The sequence below is a fragment of the Homo sapiens genome, chromosome 3 (assembly GCF_000001405.40).
Source record: "Homo sapiens chromosome 3, GRCh38.p14 Primary Assembly".
Lineage (NCBI taxonomy): Eukaryota > Metazoa > Chordata > Mammalia > Primates > Hominidae > Homo > Homo sapiens.
The window spans coordinates 12,037,615-12,064,064 of NC_000003.12; the positions used below are offsets into that span (position 1 = coordinate 12,037,615).

The 26,450-nt window shown below is 37.9% G+C and overlaps 1 protein-coding gene across 3 annotated transcripts in view, besides 2 other annotated features; it reads left to right on the forward strand.

Annotated features, from left to right (window-relative positions):
• SYN2 (synapsin II) overlaps nt 1–26,450 on the forward strand; it is a 187,645-nt gene that overhangs the window by 33,227 nt on the left and 127,968 nt on the right. The window lies entirely within an intron of this gene.
• Nucleotides 8,795–9,089: a silencer, noted in NCBI's record as "tiled region #7614; HepG2 Repressive non-DNase unmatched - State 13:Ctcf". NCBI's record gives its function as "represses a minimal TATA promoter and a strong SV40 promoter by Sharpr-MPRA in HepG2 cells {active_cell/tissue: HepG2}" and the evidence as "EXISTENCE:reporter gene assay evidence [ECO:0000049][PMID:27701403]".
• Nucleotides 21,507–22,008: an enhancer, noted in NCBI's record as "H3K4me1 hESC enhancer chr3:12100621-12101122 (GRCh37/hg19 assembly coordinates)". NCBI's record gives its function as "activates a minimal SCP1, AML or CMV promoter by ChIP-STARR-seq in primed H9 embryonic stem cells {active_cell/tissue: H9 hESC(primed)}" and the evidence as "EXISTENCE:reporter gene assay evidence [ECO:0000049][PMID:30033119]".

Genomic DNA, 26,450 nt, shown 5'->3' on the forward strand with positions numbered 1-26,450 from the left:
GAAGGGGGTTGAACTCATCCTTTTATCAAGAACCTACTCCTGAAATAACTAACCTGCTCCCATGATAACAGCATTAATCCATTCATGAGGCCTCACGACCTAATTGCTGTTAAAGGTCCCACCTCATAACACTGTTGCAATGGGGATTAAGTTTCCAACATAAGAACTTTGGGGGACACACTCAAACCATAGCAAATACCTTACCATATATATGATTTGCAAATATTTTCTCCCATTCTGTGGCTTATCTTTTCACTTTGGTAGTGTTCTTTGGAGCACATGTTTTTAATTTTGATGAAGCCCAATTTTTCTGTTTTTTCTTTTGTTGCTTGTGTTTTTTGTGTATATCTAAAGAAACTGTTGCCTAATCCAAGATCACAAAGACTTACACCTATATTTTCTTCTAATAGTTTTATAGTTTTATCTCTTACACTTAGATCTTTGAATCCATTTTGCCTTAATTTTTGTATATGCTGTGAAGAGTCCAAATTCATTCCTTAGCATGTGGATACCTATTTTTCCCAGCACCATTTGTTGAAAAGACTCTTTTTCCTCTATTGAATTGTCTTGACACCCTTGTCAAAATCAACTCACCATAGAATTGTGGGTTCATTTTTGAATTCTAAGTTCTATTCCATTGATGCAATAGATTGCAATGATGCATTATTTGTTCTTATATCAATATCATATTATCTTCATTACTGTAGCTTTGTAGCAAGTTTTGAAATTGGAAAGTGTGAGTCATCTAACTTTGTTGTTTTTTAAAAAAAAACTTTTTTTTGGCTATACTTTGAGTCCTTTGAATTGCCATATGGATTTTAGGATCAACTTGTGAATTTCTGCAAAAAAGGCAGCTGAAATTTTGATAGGGATTTAATTGATAGATTAATTTGGAGATATTGGCATTTATTAAATATTACAATCCATGAACACAGATTTTTTTCATTTATTTTGTTCTTCAATTTCTTTCAACAGTGTTTTCTAATTTTTAGTCTATAAGTCTTGTACTTATTTTAAAATTCTTATTCCCAACAATTTTATTCTTTTTGATGCTGTTGTAAATTGAATTGGTCCCTTTATTTCATTTTTGGATTGTTTATTGCTAGTATATAGAAATACAATTGATTTTTGTATATTGATTGTGTATCCTGCAACCTTGCTGAACTCATTTATTAGCTCTAAGAGTGTGTGTTCATGTTTGTGTGTATTCCTTAGAATTTTCTATGTATAAGATCATCTGCAAATAAAAATTTTACTTCTTCTTTTCCAATTCGGATGCCTTTAATTTCTTTCTCCTGGCTAATTGTCCTGGCTAGGACCTTCAGTATAATGTTGAGTAGAAGTTGAGAGAATGGATATCCTTGTTTTATTCCTCATTTTTGGGGAAAGCTTTCAGCCTTTCACTATTATAATGTTAACTGTGGTTTTTTATAGATGCTCTTTATTAGGTTGAGGAAGTTTCCTTTGATTTCTAGGTTGTTGAGTGTTTTTATCATGAAAGGGTGTTGGATTTTGTGAAATGCTTTTTCTGTGTCTATTGATACGATTATTTAGTTTCTTTTTTTATTCTATTAATATATATTACATTGACTAATGTTCATATGTTGAACCAACATTGTATTCCTGGAATAAATCTCACTTAGTCGTGTTATATAATCCTTTATCTATTGCTAGGTTTGGTTTGCTAACATTTTGCTTGTAGCTGGGGCTTTCCACAAAGTGTGTTTAGTAGATTTTCTGACATTGTACAGAGGGAAATACAAGGTCCCTCATGTTATTTCACCAGCTGCTATGTGCTACCACCATGCCACAGGCCTTACATACATTATCTTGTTTAAACTCTACCTTTGTGCTAGGTAGAGGTCACTTCAGTTTTCACTGTATTCTTGATGGTGATGTTCCTATCCTGCAGATGAGAAAACAAAGAAGCAAAGATTTTTTTTTTTTTTTTTTTTTTTTGTCATTCAGCATTTATCCTGTCTTTTTTGGGATTAATGCTGCAAGAAGTGAGACAGAGCCAAATAAAGCAATGGATTTTTTTTGAAGGTGTGCCATGAGTTATTTCTGATAAAGGTAGCTTTATGTATGTAGTAACAGAATTGGTCCTCTCATGGATATGATCATAGACAAGAGATCTTGTATCAGATCAGGTATTAAGGATCGGGAGGAAGAAACTAAACTTTTTCCTAAAAGAAGGATGTTGCCACCCTTTTTCTGAGATCAGATAAGATCAGGTCTTAATTCCTAAATCAGAATCCTTTTATGACATGTTTCCTGCCTTTAAGTAGTTGATAGTCTAGTATGAATGAAATGCAAGTTGTACAGTGAGGTTCTGGGCCTCTACCAATGGCCCACTTTAGTCATGTGGGCATTGGTGTTGGGGGAGCCTGGAATACTCATTATTTACTTAGCAATTATAAAGTATAGAATGATTAAAGTACAAAGTATGCTGATTTGGGACATAAATTGGTGATTTGGGAGATTTGTGTCCATGTTTGAGGAGGAGAGACTACATGGATTTTCAGCACTTGTTGGATTTTCATTAACTAGGATTTGGTGAGGATTTGTCTTCCCAAAGATAATTGTAATCTGGTGGAAGATGGGCTGGCAACTGTGTAGTTGCAGACAGAAAGGGCAGTGAAAGTGGATTTCAGAGTGGTAATAGGAGGCAGGAGGTCTTTGGATTAATCTGCCTCTGATGAACAGGAGAGAATGTTAAACACAAAATCCTGCATAGTGATTACTTCTGATGGAAGCCAGAGTGAGGCAGGAGGGTATTGGTAGACAGCATCAACGGTATTGGCAAGTTCTGTTTCTTTTTTTTTTTTTTTTTTTTGAGACGGAGTTTCGCTGTGTCGCTCAGGCTGGAGTGCGGTGGCGTGATCTCGGCTCACTGCAAGCTCTGCCTCCCGGGTTCAAGCCATTCTCCTGCCTCAGCCTCCCGAGTAGCTGGGACTACAGACGCCCGCCACCACACCCGGCTAATTTTTTGTATTTTTAGTAGAGACGGGGTTTCACCATGTTCTGTTTCTTAAAATGAGTTGTAAGGCCATGAGTGTTCTTTTTATTACTAGGCTTTATAACTTTCATATATATCACATTTTAAAAATATATCCAATATTTGATTCAAAAAAGAGGATAAAAGAAAGATGGAAGGATAGTGGAAGAGGACTAAGTCTCAGTGAGGAACTAAGGTGTTGATAGAAAAGTCAGGCAGCCTTTGCTTAATGTAGATTGTATTATAGTTTTCTTGCCCATTTGGAGTTATTAGGGGAATATGTGCTTCTCTCTTCTCTTCTATAACCTTTAACTGAGAGGTACTTTCTTAGAGCTGGAGCTTGGGAAGAGGAGAAAAGATGAAGCTTTGAAACAGATTTTGTTTCTACTTCTCAGAGAATAAAGGGGTGGGTGTAGGAGTGAGAGCTTATGTGTCCAGGCATCAAACTTGGCAGACAACTCCCTCAGAGCAGATGGAGTGAGGATTTCATTGCTTGACAGACTGACTCAGACCTGCCTCCCTGCAGCCAGCCACTACTGGGTATGGCTTGAATCTCTGTTGAAAGCTGCCGGATCATGGTATCCCTACTTCTACTCTAGCAATGATGAACTCCAGCCTTCCCAGAGGAAGAGCTGTCCAAGGAGCTGATGTGTTTGACCCTTATTGCTTGCTGGGATGGTGGCTTTGGTGAAATGGACATTTCTTAGACTGCAGTGTTTTTTCAGAGATTGTATAACTCCCCCAATCTATGTTGCTTTAGAGAGGATTTTTACATTGGAATAGAGCTTGCCTCTGTGTCCTCCAAGCTGTTTTTCTGCCATGAGAAATATGAACTGGAAGATTCTACACAATTGGGTGATTGGTTTAGTGAGGTCAACACAGGAAAAAACCCTAAGATGTAGAATTCTTGTTTAAGAAGTAAGCAGCTTTCCAGAAACTTCAGATTTCTCTGCCAGTCATGATTTTAGCAACCAGTGAAGATGAGCATGTTTTGGATTAGAGCCACAGCCTTCTAGTTCGTGTCCTTGCCTTTAGTCTCCCTCCTGCCAGTCTAAGGTGTAAATGCTGCCAGGCTTTTTTCCATAAAGCCCTGCTTTCATCATGGCATTCTCCATTCAGATAACCTCTAGTTGCCACTCCTGTGCATCAGGTCTAGGCATACTGTTTAGCTTTGAAATTTGTTATATCCGGCGTTATGTCTGATATTCCTCCCCAGCATTCACCATCTGCACCTGACAGGCTGGTTTTCTCTCAGTCCTCCAGATATAATATTCATTTCCACTTATATCCCTCGCTCAAAACGTTCCTTTCTTCTCTAGCTAAATCCTGCCTGTCCTTCTAAGACAGCTCATTTCTTCTTCCTTCAATGCTAGCATTGGTCACAGCCTGCTCTGCTCTGCCAACATATATAGTAGTTTCCAAATAATTTAGTGACAAGTTGTTTTCTATTTTTTGTATATTAGCGTTGGTCTGTAAGCCTTTTGAAGTCTTGGAACATGTTTGCTTCTCTTATTTCCCCATGGAATTTAAGATGGTACCTGGCATGTATCAGTATATTTGGTTAAATAATTAAACATTGCAAGTTTTGTAAATAATGACTAGTATTTGTATATCATGTTAAAGTTCACAAAATGCTCTCACATTTATTATATTTCTTAATTCTCCCCCAAATTTTGTGATACTTCTATTTAAAGTTGAAGAAATTGCATCTTAAAGAGTTGAAATAATTTGCCCAAGGTCTCACAGTTGATAACTGCTCTAGATAGGACTAGAGCCCAAGCTTCAGGTCTGTTAAAAATGCTGACTTGCCTTGTGTTTTCTTGAAATCCCAGTTTTCTTTAAGGGATTTGTAGATATTGTTGTTTAATACTATGGAATTATCCTGGGAGCTCAATGGAAAGGTAATGTCTTCCTGTGAACTAGACAGTTATAGGAGACCTGAGAATGTTTCAGCTGCAAGTGGATCTAAAGAAGGAGGGTGTAGTGGGTTGAATAGTGTTCCTTTCTGCCTGGCCCTCCCCATCCCCCAATTCAGGTCCACCTCAAAATGTGACTTATTTGGAAACAGTGTCTTTGCAGCTAAGGATCTTGAGATGAAATCATTCCAGATATAAGGTAGATCCTAAATCCAATGGCTGGTGTCCTTATAAGAAGAAGAGAAGATACAGAGAGCAGCACAGAGAGGAGAAGCCCATGTGAAGATGGAGGCAGAGATTGCAGCTAGGCAACTACAAGCTAGGGAATGGCAAGGATTGCTTGTAACCACTAGAGGCTGGAAGAGGCAAGGATTGGATGGGCCCTACAGCCTTCGGAGGGAACATAGCCCGGCCAACACACCTTGATTTTAGACTTCTGGCTTCTAAAACCGTGAGAATAAATCCCCCCACACCTTTTTTTTCCTTCTCTTTTCTCTTTTTTTTTTTTTTGTGAGACAGCATCTTGCTCTGACACCCAGGCTGGAGTGCGATGGGGTGATCACAGCTCATTGCAGCCTTAAATTCCTGGACTCAGGCGATCCTCCCACCTCGGCCTCCCAAGTAGGTGGGACTACTAGTGAGCATCACCATGCCCAGCTAATTTTTAAAAAATTTCATAGAGATGGAGTCTCACTGTGTTCCCCAGGCTGGTCTCGAGCGCCTGACTTCAAGCAATCCTCCTGGAAAACAAACCTCTCAAAGCACTGGGTTTACAGGTGTGAACTACTGGTGCCCAGCTGCTTTTTTTTCCTCTCCTAATTTCACTTTTTTAAAGCCACCAAATTAGTGGTAATTTGTTATGACAGCCTTAGGATACTAATCTAAAAGAGAAGAAAAATAAGCATTTACTGCAGGGTCTCCTATATAACCCGGTATATTTTAGGCACTTTAATGTGTTATTTTATCTCCCAACAACTTTGTGTGGTAGGCATTATTTATCCATATTTTACAAATCAGAAAAATAAGGCTCAGAAAGATAAGCTTGTGTTTTAGGAATATTCTGTCATTTTGTTTTCAGCTGTCTACTTTCTTCTGTTGATTGCCTGAGGAATTTATTATGTGGCCCTCAGAATGACTGGGCATAAAACTGTGATGTCCATTCTACTGGGTTGGTTAAAGAAATGCACCGTGGATTAGTCAAAGGAGGGCCAGACATATCATATGACCTTTCCTATGGAAAAGTCTCAGCATCTGTCTTCCCCCACGTCTGTACCTATTTCTCACCTACTATATAGTCAAATCTCCATCATGAAACTTCCCTAGATTTCTTTACCTAATATTTTATCTGTTTCTCTCTCTCAACTGAACCTCCATAGCAGTTTATCTACTTCAATTTTATTGTACATACTGCATTCTACCTTGTATTATATGATTTCTGCCTTGTGCCATTTGTCCAGGTATATTGTAGGTCTCATGAGGATGGAGATCTTGTCTTGTTCATTTTTATATCTTCCATATTACCTACCAGAAATTCTTACCCATAACATGTTAATTAATTGTTGAATTTCTGTTTTCCTCTTCTCCTTCTTCCCCACTTTCCAGGTTCTAGTGTCAACCTTTAGAAGGCAAAGTTCTCTCTCTCTCTCTCTCTCTCACACACACACACACACACACACACACACACACACACACACAGGTGTGAGGAGGATTCAAGTGAGGAGAGGGCAGTAAGACATGAACATGAATAGCATGAGCAAAAGCAAAAAAGAATGAAATGCTTCCATAGTAGTCAAACTGGTAGAATATCATATTCATTTTGTCTTTCCCATTTCATGAGTAATCAGGATATTGAAAGATTTGAAATGAGATCCTTCTGAAAAAGCAAAGGGTTCCAGAAATATGACTGAAAACTTAGTAACTGTCTAAAATTATTTTGCTCTGTGATCAAAATAATTATGAGCAACCATTCTTTTAGAGGAAAGAACCAGGATAATGGGTATAAGATATTTAGAATCTGATGAAGACATTTGATGAAACAATTAGAACCCCTGAAAATAGGAGGAATCCTTTTATGTTGAGTCTTGGTCATTTACTTTTATAGGGGTGTATGGAGGCACTATTTTTAGACAAGCAGTTAGCATCCCTCTTCATTATAAGTCTACATGGTAAGTCTACATGTGCTGTGAACTATAGTACATTCTTGCTATTGGGGAATAAGAAAAATACCTATAGTACAGGTTTTTTATTGTGCTCTATGGCATTGGGTTTATAGAATCATAGGACTTCAGAACCAGAGAGATAAGAGTAAGATATCAAATATTTATTGAGTACAATTGTGTGCTACATACTGTGCTAATCTCTTTATATATATTTAAATTTCACAATTACCTGAAATAATAGGTACACTTATCTCTATTTTATGAATGAGAAAATTGAAGATTAGAGAGGTTGGGAAATATACCCAAGGTCATGCAGCTAAGAAGTGGTGGAGATGGAATCATTAGAAAATCTGATTATATGCCTTAAAGATGATGTGATCCAGAGGTTCCTATCCTGGGCCCTCCAGGCATCTAGTAATCTAGTTAAGTTCCAACCCTGTCTCATTCTACTGTACCACCACCAGAGAGCTGTACATGTGGTATACCATAAAAATGATGTTTAAAGGGGGGTTTACTGCATTTAGTATTTTGGTGTTTTTTTTTAAACTTCAGCAACTGCTTAATGACTGAGATGTGATTATAATACATGAGAACTGTCAGACTTTTGAAGTTTTTCTGATGCAGTAAAAAGGAGTAGATAAAAAGTGAAATGGATTGTTCTTTGCTGCAAGCGGAGTTTTGTTTGTAAAATGTAGAAAGAGTTAAAATGAGATGGTAAGAATGAATGAGGAGAAATGCATTTCAGTTTTTTTCTGGGTTAAATAAGTAAATGTCTCTACTGTTTTCCAATTTGAATAGATGTTTTTCCCCCTTTGGAGGATGGGGGATTCCGTTACTTAGAGAGACTACCACCACTATTGCTATCACTAATAACAATCATTTGATTAGTGCTTTACATTTTACAAAGTACTTTCACTATGCTGTAGCCCGTAGACAATTAATCTTCCCATATCTTGCATTCCCATAGTCCTTTGCACATACCCTGCATTGTACTGAATCCCTTTGCCCCTACAATCTCCACCTCAGTGCTCATGGCGAACTGATTTGTGTGCCCTGTGGAGTGGGAGTACTGCAACATTGAGTAGTGGGGGGCTCAGGAATACCTCCCAGAAGCACAGGAGAGTACTATATAGAATTTGAATCTGGCGGAGTTAAGAAGAAAAAAGTTAAAATCAGTTATGCTTTTAAAAAATGAGGCTTGAATTTACAGCATAGTGTAGTGGGTGAGAAGCATGGGATTTGGAGTCAGCAGAACTGAATTTGAATAACTTGCTTCTTTCATTTACCAGACATTTATTCATTCTCAAAGGAACCCATATTTCTCCTTTATAGTACTTACTACAACTCTAACTAAATATTTGTTTAATGATTATACTTTCTACTAGGATATAAGTTTAATTAGGAAAGAGACTGTCAGTATTGTTCAGTTTTATTCTCTGTACCTAGTACAGCTACTAGTGTGGTTTAGTTGTTCAGTCAACATTTGTTGACTGAATAAAATGAATGAATGTCTGGTAAATTGGGTGGGTGAAACTGACCAAATCTGAGGAGTTGGGAAAGGTTTTGGTGAGTATATTACATTTAAAATGAGACCTGAAGGATGAATAGGAGTTGGCTAGGTAAATAAGGAGAGCAACATCCTGGGAGAAAGAACATGAAGCTTGTGAAAGGGAAAGAGCATAGTTAGTTTAAAGAAAGACATTTCTTTGTGACTGGAATGTAGAGAGGGGGAGAATGTGTGAGATGAGGCTAGAGTAAACAGAGGTTCATGCAGAGGCTTATAGGCTTTGCTAAGGATTTTGCACTTTATTCTCCTACTGTAGAAATAGGAAGCTATCTAACAGTTTTGATGGAAGAGAGACATGATTAGATGTTCCTTTTGATATTTTGAAATGACTGCTCTGGCTGCCATCTAGTGGAGACTGGATTGGAGGAAGGGAAGAGTGGATGTTCGGAAATTATTAAAAGGCTATTGCAAAAAACTAGGTGAGAGAAGATGGTGGCCTGGACAAAAGTAGCAAACGTGGAGATGAAGAGAGTTGGAATAATATAAGAAATATTTAATAGATCATCAAGACTTGATGATTGATTAGATAAGAAATGAAGGAGAGGTCAAAGTATGACGACTAGGTTTCTGACTGCACAGCTGGGTGGATGGAGGTTGCCATTTACTGATACGAGGAACATTGAAGGAACCTGAAGGACAGATTTTAGGGGGAGATGATGAATGTTGTTTTAGATATGTTGTAATTGAAGTGCCAATGAGACAATAAAGAGAATGATTATGGGAAGTTGGGTGTATGGGTTTGAACTTCAGGAAAACATATTGTACTCCATGACTGTTCCATATCAAGATGGAAAGCACTACCTTGTTTTTTTCATGACTGAATGGTATTTCATTGTATATATTAATGTTCCAATTATGTGCCATAATTAAGGGAAAGGCAAATTGTATGGAAAGAGAAGAATACTTAATAGTGTGAGTTTCCTTTAAGAGGAGGAGGAAATGAGATCTGGCTCACAGGTGTTTTTGGTCTTAGATAAGAGGAGAGACACCTGATCTATTATTTTAACAGAAGGGATGGAGGAGAATATGGGTGAAGATACAGAAGGGTGTGTAGATTGGATGGTGGGAAGTTGAGGATGTATCCATCTGGTGGCTTCTATTTTCTCTGTTAAGTAGGAGGCTAGGTCATCTACTGAGAAGAAGGAAGGATGATGGAAGGGGTACTATTTGAAGGAAATGAATAAGATTTTAAATCATCATATTTTGACCAGACAAACTCATGATTTAGTGAGAGTTGAAGGCCTTGTTGAGGTGACAATCTGTTCTGTTGTGTTATTTCTTTCTGGCATTCTTCAGCAGCTTGGGGACACAGAAAGTGGATACTTGAGCTCATTAAGGGTTTTTGAGGTTTTTGTCAGATGGAGACGATGAAAGGGAAAGGAAGTTTAAGTTATTGAAATACTAGATCATGGCATCTAAGTTGGATAGAGAGGCGAGTGATGGATTGGGGACAGTGATTCTCAAACTTTAGTATATATTAACATTATCTGAAGGGTTTGTTAAAACAGAGATCACTTCCATTTGTAAAACAGGAAGCAGTGTTCTGATGCTTTTCTCATTAGTTGTTGGAGTTGTAAGGTGGCAGCATGTGATGTTCTGTTTAATTTGAAGAAAGCATTTAACCTGTTTTTTGCTGTAAACCATTCAGATTTAAGATGGTTCAATAAATCAGCAGTTAACTCTGGGTATGAGAGTACTTTGGTTTCCTTGGTACCTGATTGTGAGACCCTCTACAAGTTACGTACGTTGTGTATTCCAACCTTTTACTTCTGACTTACAGATAAAATGCCCATTGTTTGTTTCTAGGGTTTTGAGCATTTTCTGTAACCCTAAGTGAAAGATTTAGCCTTTTTATGCCTTTTTAAGATGAGACAATTCGTGTTTGCTACATTTTACTTTCCCAAGGGCTTATTATGAGATTTTGTTTTATTATTTTTTGAGACAGGGTCTTGCTCTATCACCCAGGCTGGAGTGCAGTGGTATGATCACGGCTCACTGCAGCCATCGGACTCAAGCGATCCTCCCACCTCAGCCTCCCGAGTAGCTGGGACGACGGGTGTGCACCACCATGCCCAGCTAATTTTTGTATTTTTTGTAGAGACAGGGTTTTGCCATGTTGGCCAGGCTGGTCTTGAACTCGTGAGCTCAAGTGATCCACCTGCTTTGGCCTCCCAAAGGCCTCCTGGAGTGGTGGGATTCTAGGGGTGACCCACTGTGCCAGGCTGAGATTTTATTTTAACTACAAAATTCTTTTAAGACTGTTTGCCATATAAAAAGTCTACATTTTAATTGTAGAACCCAGTGATTTATTGTAAAGATGATGATGATAGCTAACATTCATTGAACGCTTATTGTGTGCCAGGTATTGTGATAGGTAGATAGTGGATAAGACAATCTAAGGAGTGCCTACTTAGTTAAGTGTTTTAATATAGTATCTCATTTCATCCTCTCAGCAGTTTTATGAGGGTATATACTATATTTCCCCCACTTAAAAAGTATGTGAATTGAGGCACAGGAAAGATAATATGCCCAAGTCATGCAGCAGTAAATGGTAGCTCGGGTTCAAATCTAAGTTTGTCCAATTCTGGACCCCTGCTGATAATCACTGTACTGGAATTGCAGCAGTCGGTAGTGACTATTTTATTCATTATATCGTTGGTTTATGGATTTTACAATCACTTGCAGACCTAAACCGTGGGAACCTATATGTCAGTCTTTTCAGTTCTGTGTAAGATGAGATTGTCAGAGTTTTGTGAATATGTAGGTGAGATGTGAAATTAGAAGCCCTTGAAGTTTGGGAATGTACATGGACCCTTCTTTCTCATTCATTGAGCACATGCTTATCGAACACTTAGGGTATGTCAGGCCATTGTGCTATGTGTAGTAAGATAGTCTGAATGCTTACTAGTTTAGCATAACTTTGGGAAAGTTAACATTGGGCCCAAAAGAGCAGCTGAGAGGAGTTGTAGGAAGAACATTAGAGCCCTGGCTCGGTGGCTCATGCCCATAATCCTAGCACTTTGGGAGGCTGAGGCAGGTGGATCACCTGAGGTCAGGAGTTCAAGACCAGCCTGGTCAACATGGTGAAACTCGTCTCTACTAAAAATACAAAAATTAGCCTGGTGTGGTGACAAGTGCCTGTAATCCCAGCCACCTGGGAGGGCTGAGGCAGGAGAATCACTGGAACCCGGGAGGCGGAGGCTGCAGTGAGCCAACATTGTGCCACTGCATTGCAGCCAGGGTGACAGAGTGAGACTCCGTCTCAAAAAAAAAAAAATAATAAAAAATAAAAAAACTGAAAGATGAGGGAACTGAGTACTAGTTTAGTATCAGAGTGCTATAGATGGCTTGGGAGTTATATAGGAAATGATACAGTAAGTTCCTATAAAGTGACTGGTACATGTTGAATGAAAAACAGGGTTTGGAACTCATTTTGTTTTGCAGTCTTGTGATGTTTTCTGCTATGACATTCTTCTCTTTTATTCATTTATATATCCACTGGACGATACATTATGTTTGTGCCACATCTGCCTGGGTGGTTGACAGATTTGGAAACATGGCTTATATTTAGAAGAGTGGAAAAGCAGAAACTTTCCAGAGATAAAATCAGTACCTTGGAGAGCTCTAAGCAGGCACCAGAACTGTGCAACACAAAGCAATCTCGACAGTTTTTGTTTGTTTTCTTTTTGTTTTGTTTGTTTTTGTTTTTGAGGGGGCTCACTGCAACCTCCACCTCCAGGATTCAAGCGATTCTCCTGCCCCAGCGTCCCAAGTAGCTGGGATTACAGGCACCTGCCACCACGCCCGGCTAATTTTTTGTATTTTTAGTAAAGACAGGGTTTCACTATGTTGGTCAGGCTGGTCTCGAACTCATGACCTCAGGCGATTCACCCGCCTCGGCCTCCCAAAGTGCTGGGATTACAGGCATGAGCCACCGAACCCAGCCTCGACAGTTCTTAGACTGTTAATGGTTATAATTCTCTGCAAGATTCTTGAAATGTTAGAGTTTATTAGAGTAAATCCGTAAGTTACACCTTTCATTTAATGTTGATTCTTTGACCCAGGAATGGCTCCAGTTTGGAATGATTTTTTTTTTTTTTTTTTTTTTGGAGATAGAGTTTTGCTCTGTCCCCCAGGCTGGAGTGCAGTGGTACGATCTTGGCTCACTGCAACCTCTGCCTCCCAGGTTCAAGTGATTCTTCTGCCTCCGCCTCCCAAGTAGCTGGGACTATAGGTGTGTGCCACCATGCCCAGCTAATTTTTGTATTATTAGTAGACATGGGGTTTCACCATATTGGCTAGGCTGGTCTTGCACTCCTGACCTCGTGATCTGTCGGCCTCAGTCTCCCAAAGTGCTGGGATTACAGGCGTGAGCCACTTTGCCTAGCCTGGAGTGATTTTTTAGGTTTGTAGACTTGTAAAGATCTTTGGAATAATCTCATCTTTCTTCTCTTCTCTTTTTTTTTTTTTTTTTTTTTTTTTTTTTTTTTTTGAGACGGAGTCTCGCTCTGTCGCCCAGGCCGGACTGTGGACTGCAGTGGCGCGATCTCGGCTCACTGCAAGCTCCGCTTCCCGGGTTCACGCCATTCTCCTGCCTCAGCCTCCCGAGTAGCTGGGACTACAGGCGCCCGCCACCGCGCCCGGCTACTTTTTTGTATTTTTAGTAGAGACGGGGTTTCACCTTGTTAGCCAGGATGGTCTCGATCTCCTGACCTCATGATCCACCCGCCTCGGCCTCCCAAAGTGCTGGGATTACAGGCGTGAGCCACCGCGCCCGGCCTCTTTTTTTTATTTCTATATAGATAAAACAGAGACCCAAAAATAGAATAGCAAAAGGATTAATGTCTTGTTGACAGAAAGTCATTAGAAAATTCTGGATAAGAATCCTAGTCTTTTGACTTCCAGACAGATGCTTAGTATGTAACAATGGACCTATTATGAGGATAAAATAATAAGTTCTACACAATGTTTTTATCAAAAAATTATAGCTTTCTAAACAGGATTTTAAGATGACCTTATAAAACTGTGGCAAGGGGAAATGTGTCAATTTCTTCAAGTTCCCTGGTGGCTTTTTTTTTTGAAATGTAAAGCAGAGAGTATTTTGCTTAGATATGAGCTGCTACATTGTTCTACATCTCTGGCAGAGGCACAGAGCTACTGCTGGTCTTCTAGTTTTGTCCTCCAGAGCTACTGCTGGTCTTCTAGTTTTGGGTCGTAGTGGTCTGTTTCTCAAATTGCTGCTGCCCCAGTGCTGCCCCTGAAGTTTTTATTTCTTTTAGTACATATGAATCCTCAAATGTAAGAACTGAAAGGTCTTAGAGATCCTATAGTCTGCCGCCTTCATTTTATGATTTTCTTTTAGTTCTGTGCTAATCTCTAAACTTCAAGTAGATCTCAGGTCTCTGAAACTGAACATGCAGGCTTATTTCTGGATCAGCCCACTTGGAAATAGCTTATCAGAGATCTTCTCTGGACCAGAGGAAATATTCCTTAAATGGGTCAGTTGTCAAGAATGTTCTTTGGAACACATTGTATAACAACATCTGCTTCAAGGCCTTGTGTATGCCTGAGGTGTTAGGATCTCATTCCTTCATATGGAAGGTTTCTCAGGAATTTATTCAGCTTCTCCAAGAAGGAAGCTTTTCAGAGGTTAGAAATCTTACTAAATTCACCGTGTATTTCCCATGTGGGCTGTTGCCTCTTAGTTGGCTCCCTGCTGGTTTTCTTTTTCATTCAGTTTATTTTGTATTTTTTAATGATAATAATTATTCACCTTTGACAAATGTTTTGGTTTTAGAGCATTTTTGACACATCTTTCTTTAGCCCTAGCAGCAATCATATGGGATCGATATTCACATTTTAGTATTTATATTCAGGAAACATTTATTGAATGCTAGCTACATGCTAGGCGTTGTGCTAGACTGTATGCTATATATCATTTTAAAAGTCTCACAGTATCTGTAAAGTATTATTCAGATTTTGCAGAAGAGAAACTAGAATTTTAAAGAGGTTAAGTAAGTAACCTCTGTTCTATTCATTTCTTTTTTTCTTCTTTTTTTTTTTGCACCTACTGCCTGATAGGAGCTGTGCTTAGCACTTAGGAGAGACATGTTTGCTGTTCTCCAGAATTAATGCAGTGCCTGAGGAACTCAAGATTTATAAAGTTACATTAGAATTTAATCAACTGTTAAGACTTAATTGTTGGCTATACTTTCAAGAAAAAAATTAAATTGACTGTTAGAATTGGGCAAGAAGAATCAAAATTTGTGTGGACCAGGGAAATAAATACAAATTTATGGAGAAGGAATAGAACCTAAATTGAAGAATGTGGCACCATTGTAGATCCCTGATCTCTGGATAACATGATAAAGAGTTAGGTTAGGAGTGTTAAGGTATCTGGATGGATTGGTAGGAGGAGAGACTAGAGGCGAGAAAACAAGTCAGGAGGTTGTTGTAATCAAGATTACCCATAGGAGCCAGCCTTGGTCATGTCTCCTTTCTTTCCAGAAAGAGAAAAACAGTTTTTTTTAGGCCAAAGCATCATAACATTCTTGAAACTCTTAGCATTGCCCTTGCAGTTTAGCTGTCAGAGAAATGCTAAGTTAGGAGATTTGAACTCACATCCTACTTATCTTCCTTTGACCCAAACATGCTACTTTGAGCTTGCTGCTGGTTCCCATATCTCTTCTGAAGATGACCTTTTTGTTTTTTGACATAATTTCCATACATGTTGTTTCATTTTACCTTTACAACAACCCTACAGCAAAAGGCATGGTAGATATTATTCCCATTTGATAAATGAAGAAACTGAAACAAAGGTAAATTAACTCATCCAAGATCATACATTGAATTACTTTAGAGCTGGAAATAAGATTCTGATTGATCCGGCCAGGCACGGTGGCTCATGCCTGTAATCCCAGCACTTTGGGAGGCCGAGGTGGGTGGATCACGAGGTTAGGAGTTCGAGACTAGCCTCACCAACATGGTGAAACCCCGTCTCTACTAAAAATGCAAAAATTAGCCAGGCATGGTGGTGGGTGCCTGTAGTCCCAGCTACTCAGGAGGCTGAGGCAGGAGAATTGCTTGAACCTGGGAGGCGGAGGTTGCAGTGAGCCGAGATCACACCACTGCACTCCAGCCTGGGCAACAGTGCGAGACTTTGTCTCAAAAAACAAAAAACAAAACAAAACAAAACAAAAAAATATATATAGATATGATTCTGATTGATCCTTCTTTCTCATTATCTGATAAATGTACACTTAGGTCTCACAGCCCCCCTCTACACTCCATCTATCAAACATAATTATTCTGTAATTTGTATTTATATCAGTGTTTACATTATTCTCATATATGTTTCTTTCTGCAGAGCTAGGTGGCATACTTACTATGATTACAATGTTTACCATACAGGACTTTTCCCCCCTAGAGTTAATAGTATTCTCATGTTTTTTACATGAAAATTTTTATAACTCTCAAATTGAGAATAATTTTTGTAAACCTCAATTAAAATTTTTGTATGCCTCAAGTAATTAACTTAAAATAAGTTAAATTAAAAAATTAAGTTTTTTGTAAACCTCGAATAATTAAAAATATAATTAAAATGATAAGTTTTGCAAACCTCAATTAAAAATTTTCATATTATTTTATCAGAATCCATCATATACCTGTGACTTGGTCCATGTTCCTTAGATAACAGAGCTTGAGGCAAACATTAAATGCGAATCCTTTACTGGGAGGTGCAATCCCAGGGCAGCAAGAATGATAGTAGGGGGAGTGAGGCAGGAAGGACAGGAAGCAAATGCAAGGTAATGCCTTATCACACTTGCCGCTGCTTTACAACAGGCAGTGAAGAGATAACAACTGGTCATTTGGCAGGTACACCAGTCTGCCCACTCAGGACATTTCCATGTGGGCTATCCTGAAAACTGTTAGAGTAGTCCATGAGAAAGAGGGAAAGGGGCTCTATCTGTTGATTCCCCCTTATGTTCTGTCTCCCACTGGTTAAAAATTGCCCATGAAGAATAACCCTCCTCCCCATGCTTCCTGGTTGCATCATCAGATTTGTCCTTTGCAATTTTGGGGGAAGCAAGATCCTACATAGTGGCACTTCATCTGAATCTGGGAGTTGTAGGAGGAGCCAGAGACTTGGGGTGTATAGCCGGTTGACACAGAAGGTTTAACTACATGAGTCCATCTAGAATCACTCTGGTGGCCCCTGAAGGCAGAGTGAGTAAAGCCAAGAGAATCTGGGGAGGAGCAAAAGATTTGTCTGATTCAACCAATTACTTACATTATCTGAAAAATCTACCAATTCTCCCCTCTCTGATCCCCTGCCCAGAGGTCTCCCTTTGTAACCCTCTATCCTATTTTAATCTGGACAATTTGGTATCTAGGATTATTGCATCCTGGGACTTTTTTTTTTTTTTTAACACTACTGTCTCCTGGGGAGTAGTTCCAGTTTCTTGGATCCCACTTTTTCTTTTTTGCTTAGCTTTACTTCCTCATTCTACAGGAACATCTTTTCCAGGAGTTTTTAAAGAAAGGGTGCCTAAGAGATGAATCTTCTGAGAAATTAGATATTCAAAAATGAAATTATTAACCCATACATTTGATAGTTTAGTAGAATATAGAATTCTGGGTCAAAAATAATTTTTCTTCAAAATTTAGAAAAGTACTGCTTTTGTTTTCTAGCATCCTTTATTAGTGTTGATAAATTTAATATTGATTGGTCAAGAAGACAGAAAGTGAACAGTATAGGAGATCTGAATGCCAAAATTAAAAAGCTTGATACTTGACCTTTTGGACATATAGATTTTTATATTTAACAATTTAAGAACACACAGTTTCTCAAATATTCATGGAACATTCATAAAAATTAATATGAATAAAGCAGAGAACACATCAACACATTTCAAAAAGATATAGAATGATCTTTGACTATAATGAAATTAGAAGTTAATATAAAAAGATGAAAATCTTAAAAATTCCCCATGTATTTTGAAAATTTGAAAACACCACTAAATAATTAATGTAAATTAAAAATACCTAGAAGGTAATGACAATGAAAACACTACATAACGATATTTAAGAGATGCAGCAAAGGCAGTATTTTGAAGAAAACTTTTATTTTAAATATATTAGACAAGAAAGCTTTAAAAATGAATGAGCTCCATTTTGTGAAGTTATCAAATGAAGAGAATAAACTTAAAGGAAAAAAGAAATATGAAAAATAATGGATTTCCTTGCATACAGGAAAGATCTGGGATTTTGTGATTGTGTTGATTCTGTGGTTCAATTTTTGGAGAAATTATATATTTGCAGTTATGAATTTTTAGAACATGAACATGGTATATCCCACCAACTGTTTGAGGCTTTAAAAACTCTCAAATTATGCTTTGTGGTTTTTAAAGGCAGAAGTCTTTTACATATTTAGTTGCCTTTCTCTCTGGGTATTTGGTGGTTCTTTTGATGCTATTATAAATGGTATTACTCTTTGAATTTCATTTTCTATTTATTGGCTGTTGGCACATGGGAATAAAATGAATTTTTGCATAAAAATGATAAAATTAGAGTATTACCGTTTTGCAACTCCCATTGAATTAATGCATCTAGGTATTGAACATCAACAGCTGTTAATATCACAGAAAGGCAGACTTTATGAGCTCCTGATAAAAGGAATCTAACAGGAGTCTGATCAAGCCTCTGCGTCCAGCTGCCAATTTGTGGGAAACACAAAGAATGGAGAAAGACGATCTTCCTGGTGAGAGTGTAATCAGCAAAACTGCTACTATGGGAAATTCTACATATGGATCAAGATGCTCCAGGCTCTTGAACAGATCAACTCTAAGGAAAATAAAGGGATGCACAGGGAAACCTGTGGATTAAAAGAGATTTGGAAGACAAAGTTGTGTTTTGTTTTTTTTTTTTTAAATAGGCAACTGTAAACTGTAGTGTTTAAGAATATACACTTGAATACAAGCATAAGGAAGTAATTCCATAAAAGTCAAGAGAGTGGTTACCTTTGCGGGGAAGGAGGGGGTCAAGACTGGGACTGGGTATTGAAGTTGCTCCTGGGGTGGCTGTCAAAATTGGTTTATTAACCTGGATGGTGGATACATGAGTGTTTGCCTTATAACAACTCATTAAACTCATTAAGCAATACTCTTTTTTTTTAATTTTGATGTGGCTTTCTGTATCTTTGTTTTATTTTACAACATAAAGTTTAAAGAAAAAAATGTTTTCTGTTGTATGAACAAGAGCAAGAGGATTAGTGGGCAGAGAGGAGAAAAGAAGGGCACCTATATATTAAAAATATTTTTGCCTAAGGTATACTAGACTTTGTACTAGAGCATTTCACACCTGTTATCTTGACATTCAAAATGGATTATTCTTATTTGGCAGAGTCTCAGAAGTTAAATAATTTCCTCATGGTAATGAGTAGGGGGCAGGAGTTCAAGCCCAAATTTGATTGATTCCAAAGCAGACTTTCTACTTCCCTCATTTACTGATGTTGGCAAATAGAAGTGTGGGTGGTATACCAATGTCTCTCTAAACCTAGTGTCTATAGTATCTAGCCTTCAGTTAGTCACCCTCCTAAAAAGTTGTGTCCTTTGTGTATATTAAAAATTATATGGAAACATGTATATTCTCACCCTCTCAACTAATCTGTTATATAAAAGACTGGTTATATTACTTGTTCTAACAGAACAAAAATGATAATTCTAAGACAAGATATGAAAATATAGTGACATCTGGGCCAGGTGTGGTGGCTCACGCCTGTAATCCCAGCACCTTTGGGAGGCTGAGGCAAGCGGATCACTTGAGGTCAGGAGTTCAAGACCAACTTGGCCAACGTGGTGAAAACCCATCTCTACTAAAAATACAAAAATTAGCTGGGCGTGGTGGCATGCGCCTGTAATCCCAGCTATTCGGGAGGCTGAGGCAGGAGAATTGCTTGAACCCAGGAGGCAGAGGTTTCAGTGAGCCAAGATCGTGCCACTGCACTCCAACCTGGGCGACAAGGCAAGACTGTCTGTGTGTGTGTGTGTGTGTGTGTGTGTGTGTGTGTGTATACTTTTTGACATCTTTAAATCCCTTATTTTTAGGGGAATTGTTTTTCTAGTGAAACATGAACAAAGATATTTGAAATGAGTTTCAAATATAGTCCAGCAGCTGAGAAGTCCTAGAACAATCTTAAACATATAAAAATTAGGCTACAGGAAGGGATTTTATTTTCAGTCCTCTTATGTGATATGACTTTAGCCATGAACATTGTATAAATTTGGATTAGACATGCCTGTAGGATGACTAAGATTCAAACTTATTTCTTTGGTTACAGTTTGATTTTAGAAAGTTGGCTTTATATTTTGTAGTTTTGATTTTGATTATTGATTTCTCAGCATTTGATTCAGTCTGATAACTTTGGGCTCTTAATTTATGGATAACTGGTTTCCAATCTCTATAGCTTTCTGCTTTTCCACTCCCGTGACATGCTTTTACTGTTACTATGAGACAATCAGGGAAGATTTTATGAAAAAATATAGTGGAAATACTTAAAAATAAACATGTAAGTAGAATTGGTTCTATAATTTTAGAAGAACATTAAAACTGAAACATATAAACATACTCGAAACATAGTCTTTATTTTGATCCTTTTAGAGCATAGTATTTCATCGTGTGGTCCTCTATCTGCATCAAAATCACCTGGGATGCCTACTTTAAAAATATATTCTGTGGTCCCATTCCCCAACCCTTCTCCATCAGAATCTACATTTTTTAACAAATGCACATACCTAGAATTTGATCCCTGTCCTTTTCAAATGTCCATATTTATTTCTTCACTTTAAGTTTCTTACCTACAATGTCTATAAGGACACTGTAGATAAGTAGGCCATCTGGAGGTTGATTTGGTAGACCATTTGCATGTTTTTGAAACAATAGATTTCTGATGTAAGTTGATTATCTTAACAGTTTAGCATAAATATGTTTTCTTTCCCACAAATTAATGATCCCTTTAATGACGGTAGATGATTTCTGAATGATTCCCAGCTGTATTGTTAAAGACATTAAATTAAGATATGCTATTATGCTGTGTGTATATATAGGACTACTAAAGGAATCAGAACTCAGAATTTTTTTTAGAATGAGTTATTCCAGTCATTAACCTTTGTATGTTTGTGTGATATAAGACAACAGTAATTTACTTCTTTTCCTGACAAATGATTATTCTATCTCTGAAGCAAACTGTTCCTTCCAGTGCTGGACAATTTGCCTCAATTATTTCCACTTACTCTAGTATCAGCTCTTCTGATAATAATTAAGCACTAGCATGTCTAAGTGGACCCAGTGAATAAATCAAGATAAAATCACTGGGGAAGGGGAATATGAAAGCAGTGCTGGAACAGGGGGAGAGGGATGGGCAGAGAAAAACCCAGAAAGGGAGCATGGGTACTAGAGATGTATTTGATATTTTGCTTTTCCTGACCTAGTCAAAAGATTCTGTTAGAGTGTCATATCAGTGCTGAGAATGGCTTCTAAAAGCAGCAGTTACCTTTATCATTCCCTCTTTCCTCATCTCCTGAGAGTCCCTTCTCATTACAGTTTAATGCTGGTTCCAGCTGTTTTCTCTTATAAACCCAACTTCTAGGGATAGCACTTGAGTCCCACATTCCCACCAGTTTGGATGAGAGAGTTTTAGTATTTGACCAAGAGCTGGATTCCACCACTGAAGTGTATCTAAATCTACCTGTCTGGTTATATGCATCCAAGTCATGTGTTGCCAAAGTAGTTCTGTTATAGAACTGAACTGGGGTCTACTTGCCTGGCACAGTAAGACCAGATATCCACACCAAGGTTTTGCAGTGGTAGAAAGGAAAACGTTAATTTGCAAGGCACCAAGCAAGGAGGACCAGGCAGCTAATGCTTAAATCCTGACCTTTCCTATGGTGTATAGGTAAGGGTTTTTATAGGCAGGAGTAAATTTCAGGAAAGCAGAAGTACAAGGAAAATCATAAATCAATACATAGAGGTTACACATTGGTTTTGGCCTAAAAGGGTGGGACATCTTGAAGCAGACGGGATAAGTGGGTGGTGGGCCCACAGGTCATAGGTGGATTCAAACATTTTCTGATTTGCAGTTGCTTAAGGAAGAGAAGCTTTGTTTTAAAAGCTGGAATCAGTAGAAAAGAATGTTAACTCTGGCTCCTGGGTGTTACTCCCTCCAGGCCCCTCAGGAAGAAATTTAAAACAAAGAACGGTGGTCAGAATTCAGTCTTCATTGCCCTTTATCTGAGGTCTGTGTGCCAGTGGATCTGCTTGGTGGAGGTCTGGGTTTCTGAAAAACAACTCAGGGACATACGTTAAGATGTTATCTTTAGCTTCTACAGGGGAATCAAACATCTCCTGACAGTAACTTCCTTGGCTATTGTTTTAAGTTACTGTTACCTTCTTGCTGTAAAGTTGCTTATTTACTTCTCAGGGCTAGCTAGGCGCCTGGAATTTTTCTTGAAGGAACTCAAGATTTTCCTTTATTTCCATGCTTGGCGGGGGGCCCACAGGCTCCTCTAAAGGGGGTCCCTGCTCTGTCTCAATTCCTCAAGACACCAATTCATTAAACTGTAAGGATGAAAATGAAAGCAGCGGGTATCAGCTCTGACATTTATAGAGCATGGAAATCATCATACCTAGCCTTGCTCAAGAAACAGCTGAACAAAATGAAAATCAGAACTTTTCTTGCATCTATCAGAGAAATGAGATTGCAGAGCAAAGTGCTGCCCTAAAATATGGAAAGACAAGCCAATCTAGGAAGTCTCAGTTGAGATCTGCATACTTGGAGCAGAAGCTGCTGGAGTCTTAAACTGGTAGGAACACTTCAATGGTAATTTTGACAAATTGCTGAAGGTTGTTTATGGGCTAGCTGGAGATTGAGAAACTCCTGGGTCTGTAGTCTTAACAGTGGCATCACATTTTTATAGATTTTACTTTTAGGAACCCCACAGGTTTGTACAGTGTAGAGCCAAGAAAAATCTCATATTGGTTCTGGCAGGAAGAAAGGGAGAGTAACCATTGTGAAATACACCCGGAGCCTTCTCCATAACAAAGACCTACTCTCCAGAGGAAAAGACTACCAGAGTCTTATCCCACCTGGGAGAAGGGCATTTCTCTGACTCCAGCCCCCTCTAGTTTTACTATCTCACCTAAGGGGGAAGGGGAAAGAAACTGAGAAATACTCGTGAAGGTGACAGGCCCACTGAATGACTGAGATTTAATCGTAAGATAGCAGAATGCTTCCTTTCCCCCAACATCTTACCACCACACCAACAGGGCTACAGTGTAACTGCTGGGTTACAGCCAAATGAGTTATAACACACAGACTCTATCTGAGGGGGAGTTCTCAGGGAAGCCCAAAGACAACAGAGGACATACAAACAGGGACACTGGAGGAATTTGAAGCCTCTGGCACTTACCACTGCAGCATGTATTAAACACAGCCAAACTCCTAGCTAGATTAACATAAAACTTCACACTAAAGGCCTATTTAGACCAGTTCCTATTCCCAATACATCATGTCTGGCTTACAAAAAAATTACAAGTCATGCTAAAGGGAATAAATAACACAGCCTGAAGTGTCTTCAAACCAAGCATCAGAACCAGCCTCAGATATGACACATATCTTGGAATTAACAAGCAGGACATTTAAAGTAACTACGATTAATATGGTAAACGCTCTGATGGAAAAAGTAGATAACATGAAAGAACAGATGGATAATGTAAGCAGAGAGATGGAAACTGTAGGAATGAATGAAAAGCAAATGCTATAAGTAAAAACTGCAACAAAAATGAAGAATGCCTTTGATGGGCTATTCTGGACACAGCCAAGGAAAGAAGCTTGAAAATACATATGTCAGTGAAACTTCTCAGAAAGGCAAAGAGAAAAATAGAGTTTAAAACAGCAACAGAACATTTAAGAATGTGAGATATTTTCAATAGGTATAAGATGTGCAATTATATGAGAAGGCAAAGAAAGAACAGAAGAAATATATGGTAAGATATTTGAAGGCTAGGAATTGATGCTTAAAAAGCCTCTGACAAAATGCAACGTTGATTCATGATAAACATTCTCAGCAAACTAGGCATAAAGGTGAATTTCCTCAACTTATTAAAGAACATCTTACAAAAAAAGCCTATATTGTACTTAATGGTAAGAAACCATACTTTCTCCCTAAGATTGAGAATGAGGTAAAGATGTCTTCTGTCACCACTATTAGTCAACATCATATTGGATAACTTAGTGAAATAAGACAAGAAAAGGAAATTAAAGCTATATATTTTGTGAAGTAAGAAATAAAACTGTCTTTGTTCACAGGTGACATGATTGTCTATGTAGAAAATTGCTAGGAAATGATAAACCTCCTGGAACATAAACAAGTAGAGCAAGGTTCCAGGACACAAGGTGAGTATATATAATTAGTTATTTTCCTGTATACCACAATGAAAAATTAAAAAAACACTACCATTTACAACAGCACCACAAAAAAAGAAAAAAGTACTTAGGCATAAATCTAACAAAATAAATTCAAGACGTATAAGCAGAACACTGCAAAACTTTGATGAAAGAAATCGAAGATCTAAATAAACAGATTCTATATTTATAGATTGGAAGACTCAATATTGTTAAGATGTCAAGTCTTCCCAACTTGATCTGTAGATGCAGTGGAATCCCAATCAAAATCCCAGAAAGCAATTTTTGTAGAGATTAACAAGTTGATTCTGAAGTTTATATGGAAAGCCTAGAAACCCAGAATAGCCGACATAATACTGAAGAGGAATAAAGTTGAAGGATTCACACAACTTGATTTCAAGACTTTTTATTACATTGTAGTTATCCATGCAGTATGATGATGATGATGATATGAAACAATAGATCTATTTCAATCAATGGAACAGAGAGCCCAGAAATAGACTCACACAGATAATAATCAAATGATCTTTGACAAAGGAGCAAAGAATTAAATGGGGAAAGGACAGTCTTTTCAACAAATTTACATTCATATGCAGGGTAGTGAACCTAGACACAAATCTTATACTTTTGACAAAAATTAAAATGGACCATAAACCGAAATCTGAAATTTAAAACTAGAAATCTTCTGGAAGAAAACACAGGAGGAACTCTAGGTGACCTTGGGTTTGGCTGTGAGTTTTTAGATACAGCACCAAAAACATAATCTGTGAAAGAAAAAAACTGATAAGTTGGACTTTATTAAAGTTGAAAATTTCTGCTCTATAGAAGACATTGTTAAGAGAATTGAAAGACAAGCCACAGACTGGGAGAAAATATTTGCAAAATATGTACCTAATAAAGGAATTGTATCCAAATATACCAATAACTCTAAGACTCAATAAGAAGCGTAGACAGTTTGGCAGTTTCTTACAAAACTAAACATAGTCTTACCATACGATCCAGCATTCATGCTCCTAGGTATTTACCCAAATGATTTGAAAACCATATGCCAAGACAAAAACCTGCATGCAAATGTTTATAACAACTTTATTCATAATCAGCAAAAACTGGAAGCAACCAAGATGTCCTTCAGTAGGTGAATGGGTAAACTATGGAACATCCAGACAGTAGAATATTATTCAGTGATAAAAATAAATGAGCTATCAAGCTACAAAAAGACATGGATGAATCTTAAATGCATATTGCTAAGGTAAATAAGCCAATTTCAAAAGGCTACAGGCTACATGAGTCCAATTATATGCCATTTTGGAAAAGGCAAAACTATAGTAACAGCAAAAGGATTGGTGTTTGCCGGGGGGAAGGATGGGAGGGGAGGACTTAAATACAGTGAAACACAGGAGATTTGGGGGGTGGTGAAACTATTCTATATGATACTGAAATGGAGGAATACATGACACTATGCAAAATCTATGGAATTCAACAACACAAAAGGTGAACCATAATGTTTGCAAAATTTTAAAAAATCACTTAGGGGATTGGGTGATCCCAGGATAGAATGCAGAATGTGATAAAATTACAAATGTGTAAAATAACTCACTGAAATGAATGAGGGAAAAAGGTGCTGATTTAATTGACTATGGAAATGAGTAGAGTCTGTAAGATTAAAGGCAAAAGAATCTAAACGTAAGAACTGTAGTTGATAATGTATCCCATGAGTGTGTGGATTAACAATTCTGATAATGCTATACATGTATACTGAAATTGAACAATTAAGTAAATGGATGGAAGATGGAGTCAACCAGGTTTCTCACTGTCGGAGTGGAAGTTCACAGATAAACATGGGAAAAGGCTAGAATAATCCATGTAATAATGGATTAAAGTTGGAGACATCATTATGAACTCATGTTTAGTTTAATATAGGCACATACAGTTTCATATAGAAATATTTATGGATATTTTTAAAAACACATGGAAGGGGGCTGTGTCAAAAGAGCCTGAAGCCCAATTGAAAGGGTTACCAATGGCTAAAGCTGGAATAGTTTGAGCAAGAAAATACAGTATTGGGTTATAATCCAAAATAATAAATATCCATAGGTCCATACTGATGCAAATAAATGATTAAAGGGAGAAGAGGAAAAAAAATCTACCATGCAGGATAATTTCCAATTTATGTAGATATTCTGCATCAAGAAGGTGGAATATAACTTCCCACCCCTTAAGTGTGAGCTGTGCATAGTGCCATCCTTTCAAAGAGTACAGTAGGGAAAGTAGGAAAAAAGATTACATTGGAGAAACCTGACAAACACTCCCTCAGTCAGGTGATCAAAGTCATCATCAACAGTGATAAGTA